Here is a 14,947-nt window from a genome sequence, read left to right as displayed (position 1 = left end):
TGGCCTATTCCTCATTTTGATGGCAGAAGTTTTGAGTATTTGCCCATTAAAGTCAATGCTCCCTTTGGCTTGAGATTTTTCAGTGAAGTGAGGAACATGTCCATCTATTTCCTTTCTTTTTAAATTAGGAGACTTTGGGTAACGGAGGCTAAACAGTACAATTTGTCATTTCAGCATCTGTGATTTTGTTTTCTGAGGCATTAATGTAGCTGGCTTTTGTTGTTGTTTGAGACAGGGTCTGGCTCTGTCACCCAGGCAGGAGTGTAGTGGTGTGATCACAGCTCACTGCATCCTCGAACTCCTGGGCTCAAGCCATTCTCCTGTCTCAGCCTCCCAAGTAGCTGGTAGTATTTTTTGTAGAGACAGGGTTTTACCATGTTGCCCAGACTGGCCTTAAACTCCTGAGCTCAAGTGGTCCTCCCACCTCAGCCTCCCACAGTGCTGGCATTACAAGGTGTGAGCCACGGTGCCCTGGCCAACGTGGCTTTCTAATAAGGAATCATCCCTGTGTCTCAGGCATAAACTTCCTTTTTTTTTTTTTTTTTTTTTTGAGTAGGGGTCTTACTCTGTCACCCAGGCTGGAGTGCAGTAGCATGATCACTGCTCACCGTAGCCTCCAGTCCCTGGGCTCAAGGGGTCCTCCTGCCTCAGACTCCCCAGTAGCTAGGATTACAGGCGTGAGTCACCATGCCTGGCTGTCTCCTTCTTATGATCTTTTTTTTTTTTTTTTTTTTTTTTTTGAGATGGAGTCTCGCTCTTGTCGCCCAGGCTGTAGTGCAGTGGCGTGATCTCGGCTCACTGCAACCTCCGCCTCCTGGGTTCAAGCAATTCTCCTGCCTCAGCCTCCCAAGTAGCTGGTATTACAGGTGCCCACCACCATGCCCAGCTAATTTTTTGTACTTTTAGTAGACATGGGTTTTCACCATGTTGGCCAGGCTGGTCTCGAACTCCTGACCTCAGGTGATCCGCCCGCCTCAGCCTCCCAAAGTGCTGGGATTACAGGCATGAGCCACCACGCCTGGCTCTATGTTCTACTTTTTAAAAGCTGCCAGTAGCACTTTTAAAAATCTCTACTTGGGCTGAGCACAGTGGCTCATGCCTGTAATCCCAGCACTTTGTGAGGCCAAGGCAGGAGGATTGCTTGAGGCCTGGAGGTCGAGGCTGCAGTGAGCTATGATTGCACTACTGCACCGTAGCCTGGGCCACAGAGCGAGACCCTGTCTCAAAAACAAAACAAAACAAAAAAAACCACACAACCCTACCTAAGGATTTTACACCCACGTCAGTGGGGGTCCACTGGGCACCTCCAAGTGTCCCCACAATGCCGTCAATGCTGCCATGGGGCAGACACCCCAAGCCCTCGTCACTGAGCCCCCTCAGTTGCTCTCACAGGCTGTGCCCTGTCTGGAGCTGGTGTGAGAGCAGGGCTCAGGACCCCAGAATTCCTACTCCACGACCCTTTTCAGGACCCCTACCCTAGTACTCACCCAGTTCTCCTTTGAAGTGATCAGACTGTGACCTGGGGAGGGCAGAGTCTCCAGTGAGCACTGGGCACGACCCATGTGTGTTTGTCGAGTGACTGTGAGGGATCTGTAGTGTCCCGAGAGCTGAGGCTGCAGTGTGGCTGAGCTGTGTCCTTGAACTATTGCCTTTAATTCCAGGGAAGACCTCGTGTTGATGCGCCCTCCTCCAGGCTGAGCTCCTGTCATGGCCCCACTCCTCCCCGACCCTCCAAGCCCCTGTTCTGCCCTTTGGCCTCACCCTGGCCTTACATCGCTGAAGGCACTGTGTTCGGCTACAAGTCTGCCAGTCGGAGGCTCCTAGGGCCTCCTGGGGCTGGGCCTCGTCCATTGTGGGGTAGGCTCCAGAGGAACATGGGCGGAGGCAGCGTTTGATGAGTCACCACCTGCCAAGACTGACTTTTTCTTTTTAGAATCTTTTTTTTTTTTTTTTTGCAATGGAGTCTCGCTCTGTTGCTCAGGTTGGAGTGCAGTACTGGGATCTCAGCTCACTGCAACCTCCACCTCCTGGGTTCAAGTGATTCTCGTGCCTAAGCCTCCCAAGTAGCTGGGACTACAGGCGTGCGCCACCATGCCTGCCTGATTTTTGTATTTTTTGGTAGAGACGGGGTTTCACCATGTTGGCCAGGCTGGTCTTGAACTCCTGGCCTCAAGTGATCCACCTGCCTTGGACTCCCAAAGTGCTGGGATTCCAGGCGTGAGCCCCCGCATCTGGCCCTGAGGTGGTTCTTCCCCTGCTCATGCACTGTCTGTCTGTGGCTCTTCAGGGACCTCCAAAAACCCTCCCATCTCATTGGCCAGCCTGAAAGGCACTGCTAGATGGGGGCAGGGGACAGACGGAAGACAGACAAGGTGGGCGGGGGTCTTTATTTGAGTTTAGGCATGATTCGAATGAAGAGGATCATGCTAATGAAGATGAAGCAGACGATAATGAGCATGGCCCAGAGCAGCCAGTTGACTGACTTCTGCGTGTGCTGCTCCAGACGCTCTGACTCCGTCTTCAGTTTCTCCAGGTTCTGGTCCGCCATTTTCAGTGAGTGTGACAGGGTCTGTGGGGGAGGTGGAAAAGGTGTCAACAGGACTGGGGCCAAGAATGGCCTCTCTCTACTTCCCTGGGACTGGCCTGCACCTCTTGTCGCTTGCTGGTGCTGTGCCCTCTGCTGGGAATGCCATTTTTGCCTTCTACGAAACTCCTATTCATCCCGCAAAGCCCCAGCCACAATGCTCCTGTGCTGGGAAGCCTTCTCTGATGCCCCAGGGCAGAGGCTGGAGAGCTCCCCCAGTCCCCACACCTGGTTGTCCTTCTTGATGACACTCTGGGCGGCCAGGGTATTGGTCTTGAGGCTCCGGGCCAGTCCTAGCATCTCTTCCGCCAGCTTTTCCTGGAGGTTCTGATGTCGCTGCAGGACGAGGTCTAGCTCAGCTGCCAACTGCTTCTCACTCACTGGCTGGGACCCTGCCACTCCACTGATTTCACACACGGGGGGAGGAGGACATGAGAGATGGAGTGGGAAAGGGGAGAAGACCAACACATTTTCTTTTTTTTTTTTTTTGATACAGAGTCTCGTTCTGTTGCCCAGGCTGGAGTGCAGTGGCATGATCTCGGCTCACTGCAACCTCTGCCTCCCAGGTTCAAGCAATTCTCCTGCCTCAGTCTCCTGAGTAGCTGGGATTACAGGCACCTGCCACCATGCACAGCTAATTTTTGTATTTTTAGTAGAGACAGGGTTTCACCATGTTGGTCAGGGTGGTCTCGAACCCCTGACCTCGTGATCCACCTGCCTCGGCCTCCCAAAGTGCTGGGATTACAGGCGTGAGCCACCGCGCCCGACCTTTTTTTTTTTTTTTTTTTTGAGACAGCATCTCGCTCTGTCACCCAGGCTGGAGTGCAATGGCGTGATCTCGGCTCACTGTAACCTCCACCTCCCAGGTTCAAGCAGTTCTCCTGCCTCAGCCTCCTGAGTAGCTGGGACTACAGGCGCATGCCACCATGCCCGGCTAATTTTTTGTATTTTTAGTAGAGACAGGGTTTTGCCATGTTGGCCAGACTGGTCTTGAACTCCTGGCCTCAGGTGATCTGCCTGCCTCAGCCTCCCAAAGTATTGGGATTACAGGCGTGAGCCACTGCGCCTGGCCTTTGACTTCTGGGAAGAGCATCCACAGAAGTGGCTTCTGGTTGGTTTAGATCCTTGTGGTAGTGCCTCGGTGGTCCAGGGTTTGGCCACTGCTACCCCGTCCCTGCCGCACCGCCCAATTGCCACTACTGCCCCAGGGCCGCAGACACTCACGTTCTCTTCCTTACGTCCATCTCAGGCTCTGAAAGCAAAACAGGCCAAGCAAAAAAGGCGAGTGTTGGTTTCCCGTTTCCGGCATCCTGAGCATTGCCTGTGCTGGGTCTACTGCTTGGAATGCTGTTTCCTCATCTTGTCTGCTGCCCCGTTGGCTTCTGACCATGCTTGAATACCCCCTCTTCTAGGAGGGTCTCCTTACTCCTGTCTCGGTTCCCTCAGACCCCAGGTCCCTCCCTCCAGCCTAGCCTTGGTCCCATAGGCTGGGAGTGCCTAGCTTTAAAAAATTTATTTATTTGCTTATTTTTGAGACAGAGTCTCTCTCTGTCAACTAGGCTGGAGTGCACTGGCGCAATCTCAGCTCACTGCAACCTCTACCTCCCAGGCTCAAGCAATCCTCCTGCCTCAGCCTCCCAAGTATGCTGGGACTACAGGTGTGCGTCACCACGCCTGGCTAATTTTTTTGCTTTTTTTTTTTTTGAGACGGAGTCTTGCTCTGTCGCCCCGGCTGGAGTGCAGTGGTGTGATCTCAGCTCATTGCAACCTCCACCTCCTGGGTTCAAGCAATTCTCCTGCCTCAGCCTCCCGAGTAGCTGGGACTACAGACACGTGGCACTGCATCCGGCTAAGTTTTGTATTTTTAGTAGAGACATGGTTTTGTCATGTTGGCCAGGTTGGTCTCAAACTCCTGACCTCAGGTGATCCACCTGCCTCAGCCTCCGAAATTACAGGTGTGAGCCACTGTGCCTAGCTTTGTTTCCTCTCGGGGCCATTTCCTCTGTCCTGGCTCTTCCTCCAGGTGTAGTTTGGTGATGCTCCTGTTGGAGTCAGGGCATGGAGTCTCGGCATGGAGGCCCCGGGGCAGCAAGGATACATGTCTTGTCCTAGTCAGCTGGCCCTCAAGTCCTGTTGTGTTCATGGTGACTCACCTGCAGAGTCCTGTGGAAAGAAGTAAGTGGCATGAGGCTGGGTGCAGTGGCTCACTCCCAGCACTTTGGGAGGCCAAGGTGGGCAGATCACCTGAGGTCAGAAGTTCGAGACCAGCCTGGCCAACATAATGAAATTCCATCTCTACTAAAAATACAAAAAGTTAGCCAGGTGTGGTGGGGGTGCCTGTGATCCTAGTGACTTGGGAGGCTGAGGCAGGAGTATTGCTTGAACCTGGGAGGCGGAGGTTGCAGTGAGCCGAGATCGCGCCACCACACTCTAGCCTGGGCAACAAGAGCGAATCTCCATCGCAAAAAAAAAAAAAAAAGTAAATGCCATGAAGTCACCCCCCTTGTCTTGTTCCCAAACCTGTCCCTTCTGACCTCAACCTCCTCACCTTCAGTCAGGACATGGGGAAATCCCATGACCTCTGAGCCTGTTTCCTCAACCTTAAACTGGTAACGACAACTCATATTTTTTTTTTTTGAGACGGAGTTTCACTCTTATTGCCCAGGCTGGAGTGCAATGGCTTGATCTCAGCTCACCGCAACCTCTGCCTCCTGGGTTCAAGCGATTCTCCTGCCTCAGCCTCCCGAGTAGCTGGGATTACAGGCGTGAGCCACCATGCCCAGCTAATTTTGTATTTTTACTAAAGACGGGGTTTCTCCATGTTGGTCAGGCTGGTCTTAACTCCTGACCTCAAATGATCCGCCCGCCTCGGCCTCCCAAAGTGCTGGGATTACAGGCGTGAGCTGCCGCACCTGGCCACAACAACTCATATTTTAAAAGATTGAGCTGATCCACATAAAGTGCTCAGAAAGGAACTTGTCATCCTCTTTTACGGCTGAAGAAACTTATGTGTCTTGTAAGTTGCAAGCCAGGACTCAAACCCTGCTCTTGGGCCAACTCTGGGGCTTAACCAGACACATTCCATTTTTGCCTTGTACCAAATTCCTATTCATCTAGCAAAGCCTTAGCCACAATGCCCCTCTGTTGGGCAGCCTTGTGTGATGACCCAGGGAAGAGATTGCTGGACCCCCTTAGGGTTCCTGTATCTGACAGTATTGTGGTTCTGGCTGCCTACAAGCATAGAACCCCTATTCCTGTCCAAGGGATTCCCAGGGACCAGGGAAGGAGCCCTACCGTGCCTAGTAGCTCACTCCGCATCTCGCTGGTGTACCGCGCCCGTGACTGCAGATGCACCGTCTTTGTGGCGGGCACTCGCTCTCTGGCTGTGGTTGGCACACGGCCAGGGGCCAGGAACTGGTTGGCCAGTGCTTTCTCTGAGGAGGAGGTCTGCAGAAATGTGGGAAGATAAGTCACTGGAGGGGCAGGTCCTGGGGACCAAAGTGAGCGGTGATGGGGGCTGAGGGGGCAGGGGCACCCCTTCTCACCAGCTTCTCGGCTTGCAGCATCCCCTTCAGAAAATCCACCTTCCAGGAATATTCATTGATCACCTCAGAGGCCGGTTTGCTGGAAGGCAGGAAGAAGAAAAACAAAACCTGTCCATGGTCCCCAGCTCAGGGAAGGGTCCCAGCTGGGATAGCGGTACTGGGATGTCCAGTAGCACAGCCACGTGCTGATGTGAAAGCCCTGAGGCTGCCTGCACTCACCTCGCGTGGACCTTCAGGGCCTGCAACATGTCCTCTAGGGCTCCCACGTACTGGGGAGGAAAAGTGGATTGTCACCCGGGGGTCTTTCCCATGTCCTGATCATGGGAGTCGGGGGGGCGGGGCCGACAAATGGGAGGGGTCAAGCGTAAAGGAGGCGGGGCCAGTGGGGGAGGGGCGGAGTCCCAGGGACGGGGGCGGAAGCTACAGGTGGACGTGGCGGGACTGACCGGAAAGGGCGCTGCCCGAGAGGCTACTGGGGCCGGGGAGTCGGGCCAGGTGGCTTCCAACCCTAGGAATCACCCCCCGGGAGTCGGGCTCTACGCGGCAGTGCGAGATCCCCTCACCTTCTCCAGGCGCCACTCGTCCGGGTCCCGTTTCTCCGCTGCCATCGCCTCGCAGCGGGATAGCAGCCGCACCAGGTTTAGCTCCAGCCTCGACGCCGCCATTATCGCCCGGCCCTACACCACCCCTTCCGCCGGCTCCATGTTAAGAGAGGGCGGAAGTGCCTTCAAGTGGCCTTCCGGGCGGATGTTTCCCCCGCGCTCGTTAGCTGGCCCATCTTTGTTTGGAGCGGAAGTAATATCTTGTTTTGAGACGGGGCGCTGGGCCGGGCGCGGTGGCTCAGGGCTGTAATGCCAGCATTTTAGGAGGCAGAGGTGGGAAAGGATTGCTTGAGGCCAGCCCGGGCAAGATAGCGCTACTCTATCTCTATTTTAAAAAAATAGGAGAGGCGCCACCCCATTCTTACTTAGGCGAATCACTTGCTTTTCCTCGAGAGCATGTTAACCCTTCGGGAATGATAGGACGACCGGGGTCTTCTGGTGTCAGACCCGCGTGCAGTGTGCCCTTTTGTTCTGTTTTGCCTGCTCAAAGTACCTCCCCGCACCCCACTCCTACCTGGATTCTTCCCAGTCGGAGCTATTTCACGTCCACACACCCTTCCCGATTTCTGTAGCCTGGGATTCAGGAATCCAAGGCTTCCCCCACCTCAGCAGGGCTCATCTGTATTGTGGTTATGGGTTTCCAGGTCACAGCTCCAGCTCTGATTCCATCCTCGGCCCTGGGAGAGTTTAACTTTTCTGGATCCGCTTCTTCCCCCGGGAAATGGACAGTGTGACAGTACCTGCCTCAAGGGGCACATGAGACAGCTCTGCCTGAGAGTGAGCAAGGTGGGGCTGGGTCCCCCCTAACGCCCAGACCCCCATGGAGAACCCCTTCCCAGCCCACCTCAGTACCTGGAAGCTGAGTACCCCTATGCCTTGCAGTGCCTCTCTTCTGGAGTGACAGGATGAGGGTGGGGGCTTCACAGGAACCAGGGCCTGGCATGCAGCCTTCATGTTTTCCCACACCTTAGGTCATCTGCACCTTGGTTACACCAGTGGGCCTGATGTCCTTGAAAAATATCATAGACGGGTAGGTGCGGTGGCTCACACCTGTAATCCCAGCACTTAGGGAGGCTGAGGCAGATGGATCACCTGAGGTCAGGAGTTTGAGACCAGCCTGGCCAACATGGTGAAACCCCGTCTCTACTAAAAATACAAAAATTAGCCGGGCGTGATGGTGGGTGCCTGTAATCCCAGCTACTTGGGAGACTGAGGCAGGAGAATCGCTTGAACCCAGGAGGTGGATGTTGCAGTGAGCCGAGATTGTGCCACTGCACTCCAGCTTGGGCAACAAAGCAAGACTCCGTCTCAAAAAAAAAAAAAAAAAAAGAAAATACCATGGAGGGCCAGGTGCGGTGGCTCACGCCTGTAATCCCAGCACTTTGGGAGGGTGAGGTGGATGGATCACTGGAGGTCAGGAGTTTGGAGAGCAGCCTGGCCAACATGGTGAAACCCTGTCTCTATCAAAAAACACAAAAATTAGCTGGGCTTGGTTGTGCGTGCCTGTAATCCCAGCTACTCGGGAGGCTGAGGCAGGAGAATCGCTTGAACCCGAGAGGTGGAGGCTGCAGTGGGCCGAGATCGCGCCACTGCACTCCAGCCTGGGTGACAGAGCGAGACCGTGTTTCAAGAAAAAAACCCACAACAAACAATGGAGACCAAACCCAGGGCCCATCAAAGGGGCCTCTAGAGGCTGGCAGGGCAGAGTCTAAATCCCAGCCATGCCCCTCCCAACTGTGTGGCCTTGGAGAAGCCCCTCAACCTCTGGCATGTGCTGTCTGAACTTGGGTTCTTCACGGTGCCCCAACCAATACCAGCCAGCCAGTTCCCACGACTCCCATCCGATGGCAGCCTGGGAGCCCATCTGTTCCTGTCCTGCTGGGCCCACCAGGAACTGGCCACCTCTGCTGGATGGGTGGCTGCTGCAGCTGACATTTAGGCTCCAGAGGCTGGGCACTGAATCAGGGAGGCCAGAGAGGGCTGCCAGGACAGCAGGCGCTCCTGGCCAAGTGAGGCTCTGCTGGGAGCTCCCTGTTTGGTGGAGGATCAAGACAGAACTTTGAGGACAGTGTTCCACCCATATTCTGCACCCTTCTTGGCTGAGGCCACAGGGCAGACCCCCACCCACCGGCCCTGTTCTTCCAAGCCCGATCCCATATGAGCAGGCGTCCCATGCACACACTTCTCAGGCACTTTTTATTTCATGCTGTGCGGGGGCCCCTTGTCCCAGATTTGTGGCCACGTGTCCAGGTGTCTGGGGGAGTGGGCCAAGCCTGAGAGAGGAGGGCCCTGCTCCAGAGATCCCCAGGTTGTCCCTGTTGACCTATAGGGAGGTCTGACTTCAGGCGTTGCCCTCCTGACCCGTGAGCAGTCCTGAGTCGCTGGCTCCTATTCTGTCACACGGGGTGGGTAGTGCCAAAAGCAGCCTCCTGCAGCCCTTGGCGTCCGGAAGAGTGACAGCCACATTCAAGTCTCCCTGGCACGTGAGGTCCATGGTGCCCCTGACTCATGTCCTGGCTCCAGCCAATAGCCCAGACCCCCATGGAAGGTTCCAGCATGTGCAAAAATGCACATTGGCCAGGTGGCTGCCCCCCGGAGACATGTGTCAGAGAGGCACGGGTCAGGTGACCCAAGTGTCCAAAACTCTCATGGAGGGTCCCAGCCCATTGGCCACCCCAAGCCAACCACAGCAGGGTCTGAGCCTCAGACGCGCAGTGGCCTAGTGGCTTCTGCTCTGACAGCTCACGTCCAGGTTATAAGGGAGACGGGCAGCGTTAATAGAAAACTTTGTACATACACATATAAAAAACCATTTGGTCTTCCATTAAGGCTGTTACAGTTTAAAGTTACGTAAACCACGTACAAAGAAACAGTTAAACGTACAAAAAGGGGAGTGGGGAGATGTGAGGCCGCAGGTGGAGATGTGGTGCTCCCCACAGGTGCGTCCATGATTTGGGGGCTGCGTGCGAGGGGGCCTGGCTCCAGCCGGCCTCTCCCTGCCTTGACTCTGCACTTGGGGCCGGTGCCCACCTCACGTCACTCTTGAGCTTTTGATTCTGGATCCTTCTCTGAGGGCCGAACACTAGCTCTGCAGCTCTGGCGCCCAGCTCCAGTGCAGGGGCCGTCCTCGGACATGCAGACTTTGTCAGCTGTGGCTCTCAGCCATTGGTCTGGCCCGAGGCGGGGGGCAGGCAGTACGTTGGGGGATCCGAGTACCTCCGCTTGGCCCCAGGTGGCTGGCCATCCTCTTCTAGGGGCTCCAGGGCGCCCTGCACTGGCAGGTCTGCCCCGGGCGTGATGTACACGGAATGTATCTGGTCCGGGCGGCGGGCAGGTGGCTCCCGGCGCCGCACTGGGGCAGCCGCCTCCCGGGCACCCGGTGCCCAGCGAGGCAGGTGGGAGGGCAGGCCTGGTGGGAGCTTGATGTTGGCCGTGGGCATGATGGGGGTCCGCCGGGGGGTCTTCACTCTGACCGTTACGAAGGACGACGGCCTTCGTCGTGGAGGGGCGGCCACGGTGGGGAGGGGGCTCGGGGTGGGCGCGCCGGGGCAAGGGAGAGCAGGCGCAGGGGGCCCTTTTGAGAGACAGATGGCAGGGTTACTGCAGCTTCAGGGCCGGCAGCCGGAGGACCCTCGCCCTGGGGCCTGCTGGGATGGACGGGAAGGAGAAAAGCAGACGCTACCTTAATACTGACCTTCCGAGGCCCCCCGCCCGGCCCGCTCCTCCAGCAGGCTCTCGGTGCTGGCCGACGTCTCCGAGTCCAGGTTCTCCTCGTCCGAGCCCCTTGGGTCCAGCTCCGGCAGCCGGTAGGTGATGTCCTCCCTGGAGGAAAAAGGGTAGTGGTGTCCAAGGCCACCCCACCGGAAGTGCTGGGCCAGTGTGGAACAGAGCAGGCTGTCCTGCTCCTAGATGTAACTCTGTGTCCCCAACCTCCCCCCACCCCAAGCAGGAGGATTGCTTGAGCCCAGGAGTTTGAACCCAGCCTGGGCAACATAGGCGGACCCTGTTCTGCAAAAAGTAAAAAAAATTAGCCAGGCGTGGTGGTGTGCACCACCTGTGGTTCCGGCTACTGGGGAGGCTGAGGTGGGAGGACCCCGTGAGCCTAGGGGATTGTGGCTGCAGTGAACCGTGATCGCACCACTGCAATCCAGCCTGGGTGACAGAGAAAGACCCTGTCTCAGAAATAAAGGCCGAGTGCGGTGGCTCACGCCTGTAATCCCAACACTTTGGGAGGCCAAGGTGGGTGGATCACTTGAGGTCAGGAGTTCAAGACCAGCCTGGCCAATGTGGTGAAACCCTGTCTCTATTAAAAACACAAAATTAGCAGGGCATGGTGGTGGGCACCTGTAATCCCAGCTACTCGGAGGCTGAGGCAGAGAATCGCTTGAACCCGGGAGATGGAGGTTGCAGTGAGCCGAGATAGCACCACTGCACTCCAGCTGGGCGACAGAGCGAGACGCCGTCTCAAAAAAAAAAAAAAAAAAAAAAAAAGTGTTGTTTGCCCAGTGTTAGGGATGACAGGACCAAACCTGGCGAGGTCAAGCGGACCACCAGGGATGGAACCTGCACTCCAGCTTGCCCTAAACATGAAGGACTGAGGGAGGGGACTGAGCCACTTGCTTCTCCTCCTTGATGGACTGGATCCGTTCAATGAGAATCTCCTTTTCCCGGTCCTCATCGCCGCCGGCTGCCTCCTCCTCCAGCAGCACCTCCAGCTCCTCCTCCTGGATGTCCCGGGTCTTGGGGCTCTTGTTCTGAAACAAAGAAGCAAGGGGTCCCACTGACATCTCTGAGTGGGCGAGGTTACTGCCGGAGGTGTGAGCAGATCCCAGGAGGTTAGTTGTGATGTGAGTGTGCTGGGCTCTTAGTGAGACTTCTCTAGGAATCCCATGGGACAGAGTGGTGGTCATGTGGCCGATTAGTCGTCCTGAGCACAGAAGGTCAGCAGGCAAGGGGCCTCCCCAGCATGCACTTCCGGAAGGTTAGGACAGGCTCTGTCTATCCTACGAGGGGCCCAGGGCCCCAGGGAACCCCAGCATGCACTGCACCGGGAGACATGCACCGCGGGCCCACCGAACGCGTACATACCAGGACCCCCTCATAGGGAGACGAAAACCCCAGTTTGAGAGGCCATGGCTGGGAGAGAGATGAACACAGGGTGACCACACGGGCCAAGACAGACACAGGCATGAGCTGGGGATACATCCAATGACCGGTACCAAGATAGGGGGTCCCTGGTTCCCACAGGAGCCCAGAGCCCGTTCCCCACTAACACACCCCTGCACTGTGGGGCTGATTCTTCTGCTATGGGAACATTTCCCCGTGGGTAGGGCCCAGGTCAGAAGGGACAAGGCTGGACGCATGACCTGAACCACCAGCAAGCAGGAAGCTGGTCCCCCTACCTGCCCCACCTAGAGGAACATAATTGGAGTGAGGCTGAGCGAGGACCATCGTCTTTCGTTCAAGGCAGTAAGTCTGCCCCTACCTGCAGGGCCTGGTGGCCCCAGCCAGGCTGGTTGTGGCCAAGGGTGTGGTAGGAGTGGGCGGGGAACTGGGAAGGGAGGCCCCGCCCTGCTACCCGAGACCACACCCACTACCCGGTCCCATCCTCGGCATGGGAGGTCCTGCCCACCCAAGGCCCCGCCCACCAAGACCCCACTCACCAGCCTTCCCAGCAACAAAGCCACGCCCAAGGCCCTGCCCAGCACCAGGCTCCGCCCCACCAAAGAGGTCCCGCCCCCACGATCACCGGTACTCACAGCATTTTGTCGCAGGAGCGAAAGCCTGCGGAAGGCGATACTCTCTGCAGCCTCCAGTTGGCTGATCTCCTCCATCTTCACTTTGTATTTCCTCATCTGCTCCTTGATCAGCATCTCCACGCACCTACAGAGAAGGCCCACGGGAGGAAGTGACTCAGTTACCGCCCCGGGGACGTCTGAGGTCCAGGGAGATGCTAGCTGGTGCCTGGGGGGCAGTGGTTGAGGCTCAGAGACCAAGCAGTGCCTGGGACACGGCTGTGCCAGCTCCCATGCAGTGTGACCTTCGGCAGCTCACTCTACCTCTTTGAGCCTGTCTCCTGTCTCTGCACGCCTCCTTGTTTGAAGGAGGGTCAGAGTGAACTGAACCCCTTAGTCACCAGTAGGGTGGGAATTATCCTGCCTCGCAGAGAAGTACAAGCTGCTGGGCAGTTTGTCCCAGGGGCAATAGGCAGATGGCCCCAGGGGCTCCAGACATGGGCTGACCCACAGTATGCCCACTTGGTGGTCAAGGCCAGCCTGGTGTTGTCAGTATCAGAGGGTCTCAGCTCGGAGTGGTCAGTGTCAGAGGGACTCAGCTTGGAGTGGTCATTATTGGGAGGAACTCAGCCTGGAGTGGTCAGTATCAGAGGGACCCAGCTTGGAGTGGTCAGAACCAGAGGGACTCAGCTTGGAGTGGTCAGAACCAGAGGGACTCAGCTTGGAGTGGTCAGTACCAGAGGGACTCAGCCCGGAGTGTTCAGTGCCAGAGGGACTCAGCCCTGAGTGGTCAGTACCAGAGGGACTCAGCCCGGAGTGGCCAGTACCAGAGGGACTCAGTCCGGAGTGGTCAGTACCAGAGGGACTCAGTCTGGAGTGGTCAGTACCAGAGGGACTCAGGTTGGGTGAGCTCTGTGGTGCGACCTGCAGGGGCTGCTGCTTGTTCCTTATCCTCCCGTGACAGGACGCTTTGTAGCAGAGAGAGGAATCCACTACCATTCACCTATCATCCAGCCTTTGTTAAAAGTTCTGTTTTAGGCTGGAAGCGGTGGCTCACGGCGGATCACAAGGTCAGGAGATCGAGAACATCCTGGCTAACATAGTGAAACCTCGTCTCTACTAAAAATACAAAAAATTAGCCGGGCGTGGTGGTGGACGCCTGTAGTCCCAGCTACTTGGGAGGCTGAGTCAGGAGAATGGCGTGAACCCGGGAGGCGGAGCTTGCAGTGAGCCGAGATCGTGCCACTGCACTCCAGCCTGGGAGACAGAGTGAGACTCCGTCTCAAAAAGAAAAAAAAAAGTTCTGTTTTAGTACAATGGGGTGTGCTCATTAAAGCACATTCAAAAAGACACAACTGCTGGGGCCACTGCCATCTGGATTTTTTTTTTTTTTTTGAGACGGAGTCTCGCTCTGTCGCCCAGGCTGGAGTGCAGTGGCGTGATCTCAGCTCACTGCAACCTCCACCTCCTGGGTTCAAGCAATTATCCTGCCTCAGCCTCCCGAGTAGCTGGGATTACAGGCGCCTGCCACCACACCTGGCTAGTTTATATATATATTTTTTATTTTTTTAAATTTTCTTTTTGAGACGGAGTCTCACTCTGTTGCCCAGCTGGAGTGCAGTGGTGCGATCTCAGCTCAATGTAGCCTCCACCTCCCAGTAGCTGGCATTATAGGCACATGCCACCAGGCCTGGCTAATTTTTGTATTTTGTTTTTTTTTTTTGAGATAGAGTTTCGCTTTTGTTGCCCAGGCTGGAGTGCAATGGCATGATCTCAGCTCACTGCAACCTCCGCCTCCTGGATTCAAGTGATTCTCCTGCCTCAGCCTCCCAAGTAGCTGGGATTACAGGCATGCGCCACCACGCCCGGCTAATTTTGCATTTTTAGTAGAGACAGGATTTCTCCATGTTGGTCAGGCTCGTCTCGAACTCCCGACCGCAGGTCATCTGCCCGTCTCGGTCTCCCAAAGTGCTGGATTACAGGCGTGAGCCACCTCGTCCAGCCTAATTTTTGTATTTTTAATAGAGATGGGGTCTCACCATGTTGGTCAGGCTGGTCTCAAACTCCTGGCTTCAAGTGATCCACCCACCTCGCCCTCCCAAAGTGCTGGGATTACAGGTGTGAGCCACCACGCCTGGCCTAATTTTTAAATTTTTTGTAGAGACAAAAATTTAAATTTTTATATTTAAATAAAAATTTGAATTTAAAAATTTAAATTTGGAAATTTAAATTTTTATATTTAAATACAAATTTCCAATTTCAAATTTTTTGTAGGGTCTTGCTATGTTGCCCAGGCTGGTCTCGAACTCCTGGCCTCAAGTGATCCTCTTGCCTTGGCCTCCCAAAGTAGCTAGGATTACAGGTGTGAACCGCTGCACTCGGCTCTGGACTTTTCTTACACATTTATTTACACAGGGATGGATGGAGCTGTCGTGGGGTCCTGGGTGGGGCTGCCCTGAGCATGCCTCCGGGGCAGGGTGG

General features: G+C 55.7%; 2 protein-coding genes across 3 annotated transcripts in view, besides 6 other annotated features; both read right to left on the bottom strand.

The window, feature by feature from the left end:
- Positions 1–2,370: 2,370 nt before the first annotated feature.
- Positions 2,371–6,843, bottom strand: USE1 (unconventional SNARE in the ER 1). The gene is made up of 8 exons (NM_018467.4): positions 6,693–6,843; positions 6,349–6,398; positions 6,130–6,208; positions 5,879–6,031; positions 4,738–4,747; positions 3,809–3,836; positions 2,813–2,987; positions 2,371–2,569 (listed from the first exon to the last, which is right to left on the bottom strand). The coding sequence occupies exons 1-8, from the start codon at positions 6,792–6,794 to the stop codon at positions 2,387–2,389; spliced, it is 780 nt and encodes a 259-aa protein (NP_060937.2). The 5' UTR covers positions 6,795–6,843; the 3' UTR covers positions 2,371–2,386.
- Positions 6,450–6,519: a silencer, noted in NCBI's record as "silent region_10322". NCBI's record gives its function as "represses an Ori minimal core promoter by ATAC-STARR-seq in GM12878 lymphoblastoid cells {active_cell/tissue: GM12878}" and the evidence as "EXISTENCE:reporter gene assay evidence [ECO:0000049][PMID:35858748]".
- Positions 6,540–6,859: an enhancer, noted in NCBI's record as "active region_14260". NCBI's record gives its function as "activates an Ori minimal core promoter by ATAC-STARR-seq in GM12878 lymphoblastoid cells {active_cell/tissue: GM12878}" and the evidence as "EXISTENCE:reporter gene assay evidence [ECO:0000049][PMID:35858748]".
- Positions 6,540–7,203: a biological region, named in NCBI's record as "H3K27ac hESC enhancer GRCh37_chr19:17325806-17326386".
- Positions 6,623–7,203: an enhancer, noted in NCBI's record as "H3K27ac hESC enhancer chr19:17325806-17326386 (GRCh37/hg19 assembly coordinates)". NCBI's record gives its function as "activates a minimal SCP1, AML or CMV promoter by ChIP-STARR-seq in primed H9 embryonic stem cells {active_cell/tissue: H9 hESC(primed)}" and the evidence as "EXISTENCE:reporter gene assay evidence [ECO:0000049][PMID:30033119]".
- Positions 8,914–14,947, bottom strand: part of MYO9B (myosin IXB) — a 137,510-nt gene continuing 131,476 nt past the window's right edge. The window contains exons 36-40 of one of the 2 annotated variants that reach the window (NM_001130065.2): positions 12,491–12,614; positions 11,820–11,867; positions 11,352–11,485; positions 10,414–10,553; positions 8,914–10,305 (exon numbers count right to left, since the gene is read on the bottom strand). In NM_001130065.2, coding sequence (NP_001123537.1) covers positions 10,415–10,553; positions 11,352–11,485; positions 11,820–11,867; positions 12,491–12,614 — 445 coding nt within the window. In that variant the 3' untranslated portion in view covers positions 8,914–10,305; position 10,414. The remainder of the gene's footprint in view (positions 10,306–10,413; positions 10,554–11,351; positions 11,486–11,819; positions 11,868–12,490; positions 12,615–14,947) is intronic. The other variant, NM_004145.4, reaches the window with a different exon arrangement.
- Positions 11,387–11,892: an enhancer, noted in NCBI's record as "H3K4me1 hESC enhancer chr19:17321117-17321622 (GRCh37/hg19 assembly coordinates)". NCBI's record gives its function as "activates a minimal SCP1, AML or CMV promoter by ChIP-STARR-seq in primed H9 embryonic stem cells {active_cell/tissue: H9 hESC(primed)}" and the evidence as "EXISTENCE:reporter gene assay evidence [ECO:0000049][PMID:30033119]".
- Positions 12,262–12,371: a silencer, noted in NCBI's record as "silent region_10321". NCBI's record gives its function as "represses an Ori minimal core promoter by ATAC-STARR-seq in GM12878 lymphoblastoid cells {active_cell/tissue: GM12878}" and the evidence as "EXISTENCE:reporter gene assay evidence [ECO:0000049][PMID:35858748]".

Source organism: Homo sapiens, chromosome 19 (genome assembly GCF_000001405.40).
Source record: "Homo sapiens chromosome 19, GRCh38.p14 Primary Assembly".
Lineage (NCBI taxonomy): Eukaryota > Metazoa > Chordata > Mammalia > Primates > Hominidae > Homo > Homo sapiens.
This window is presented reverse-complemented; position numbering and strand designations above follow the sequence as displayed.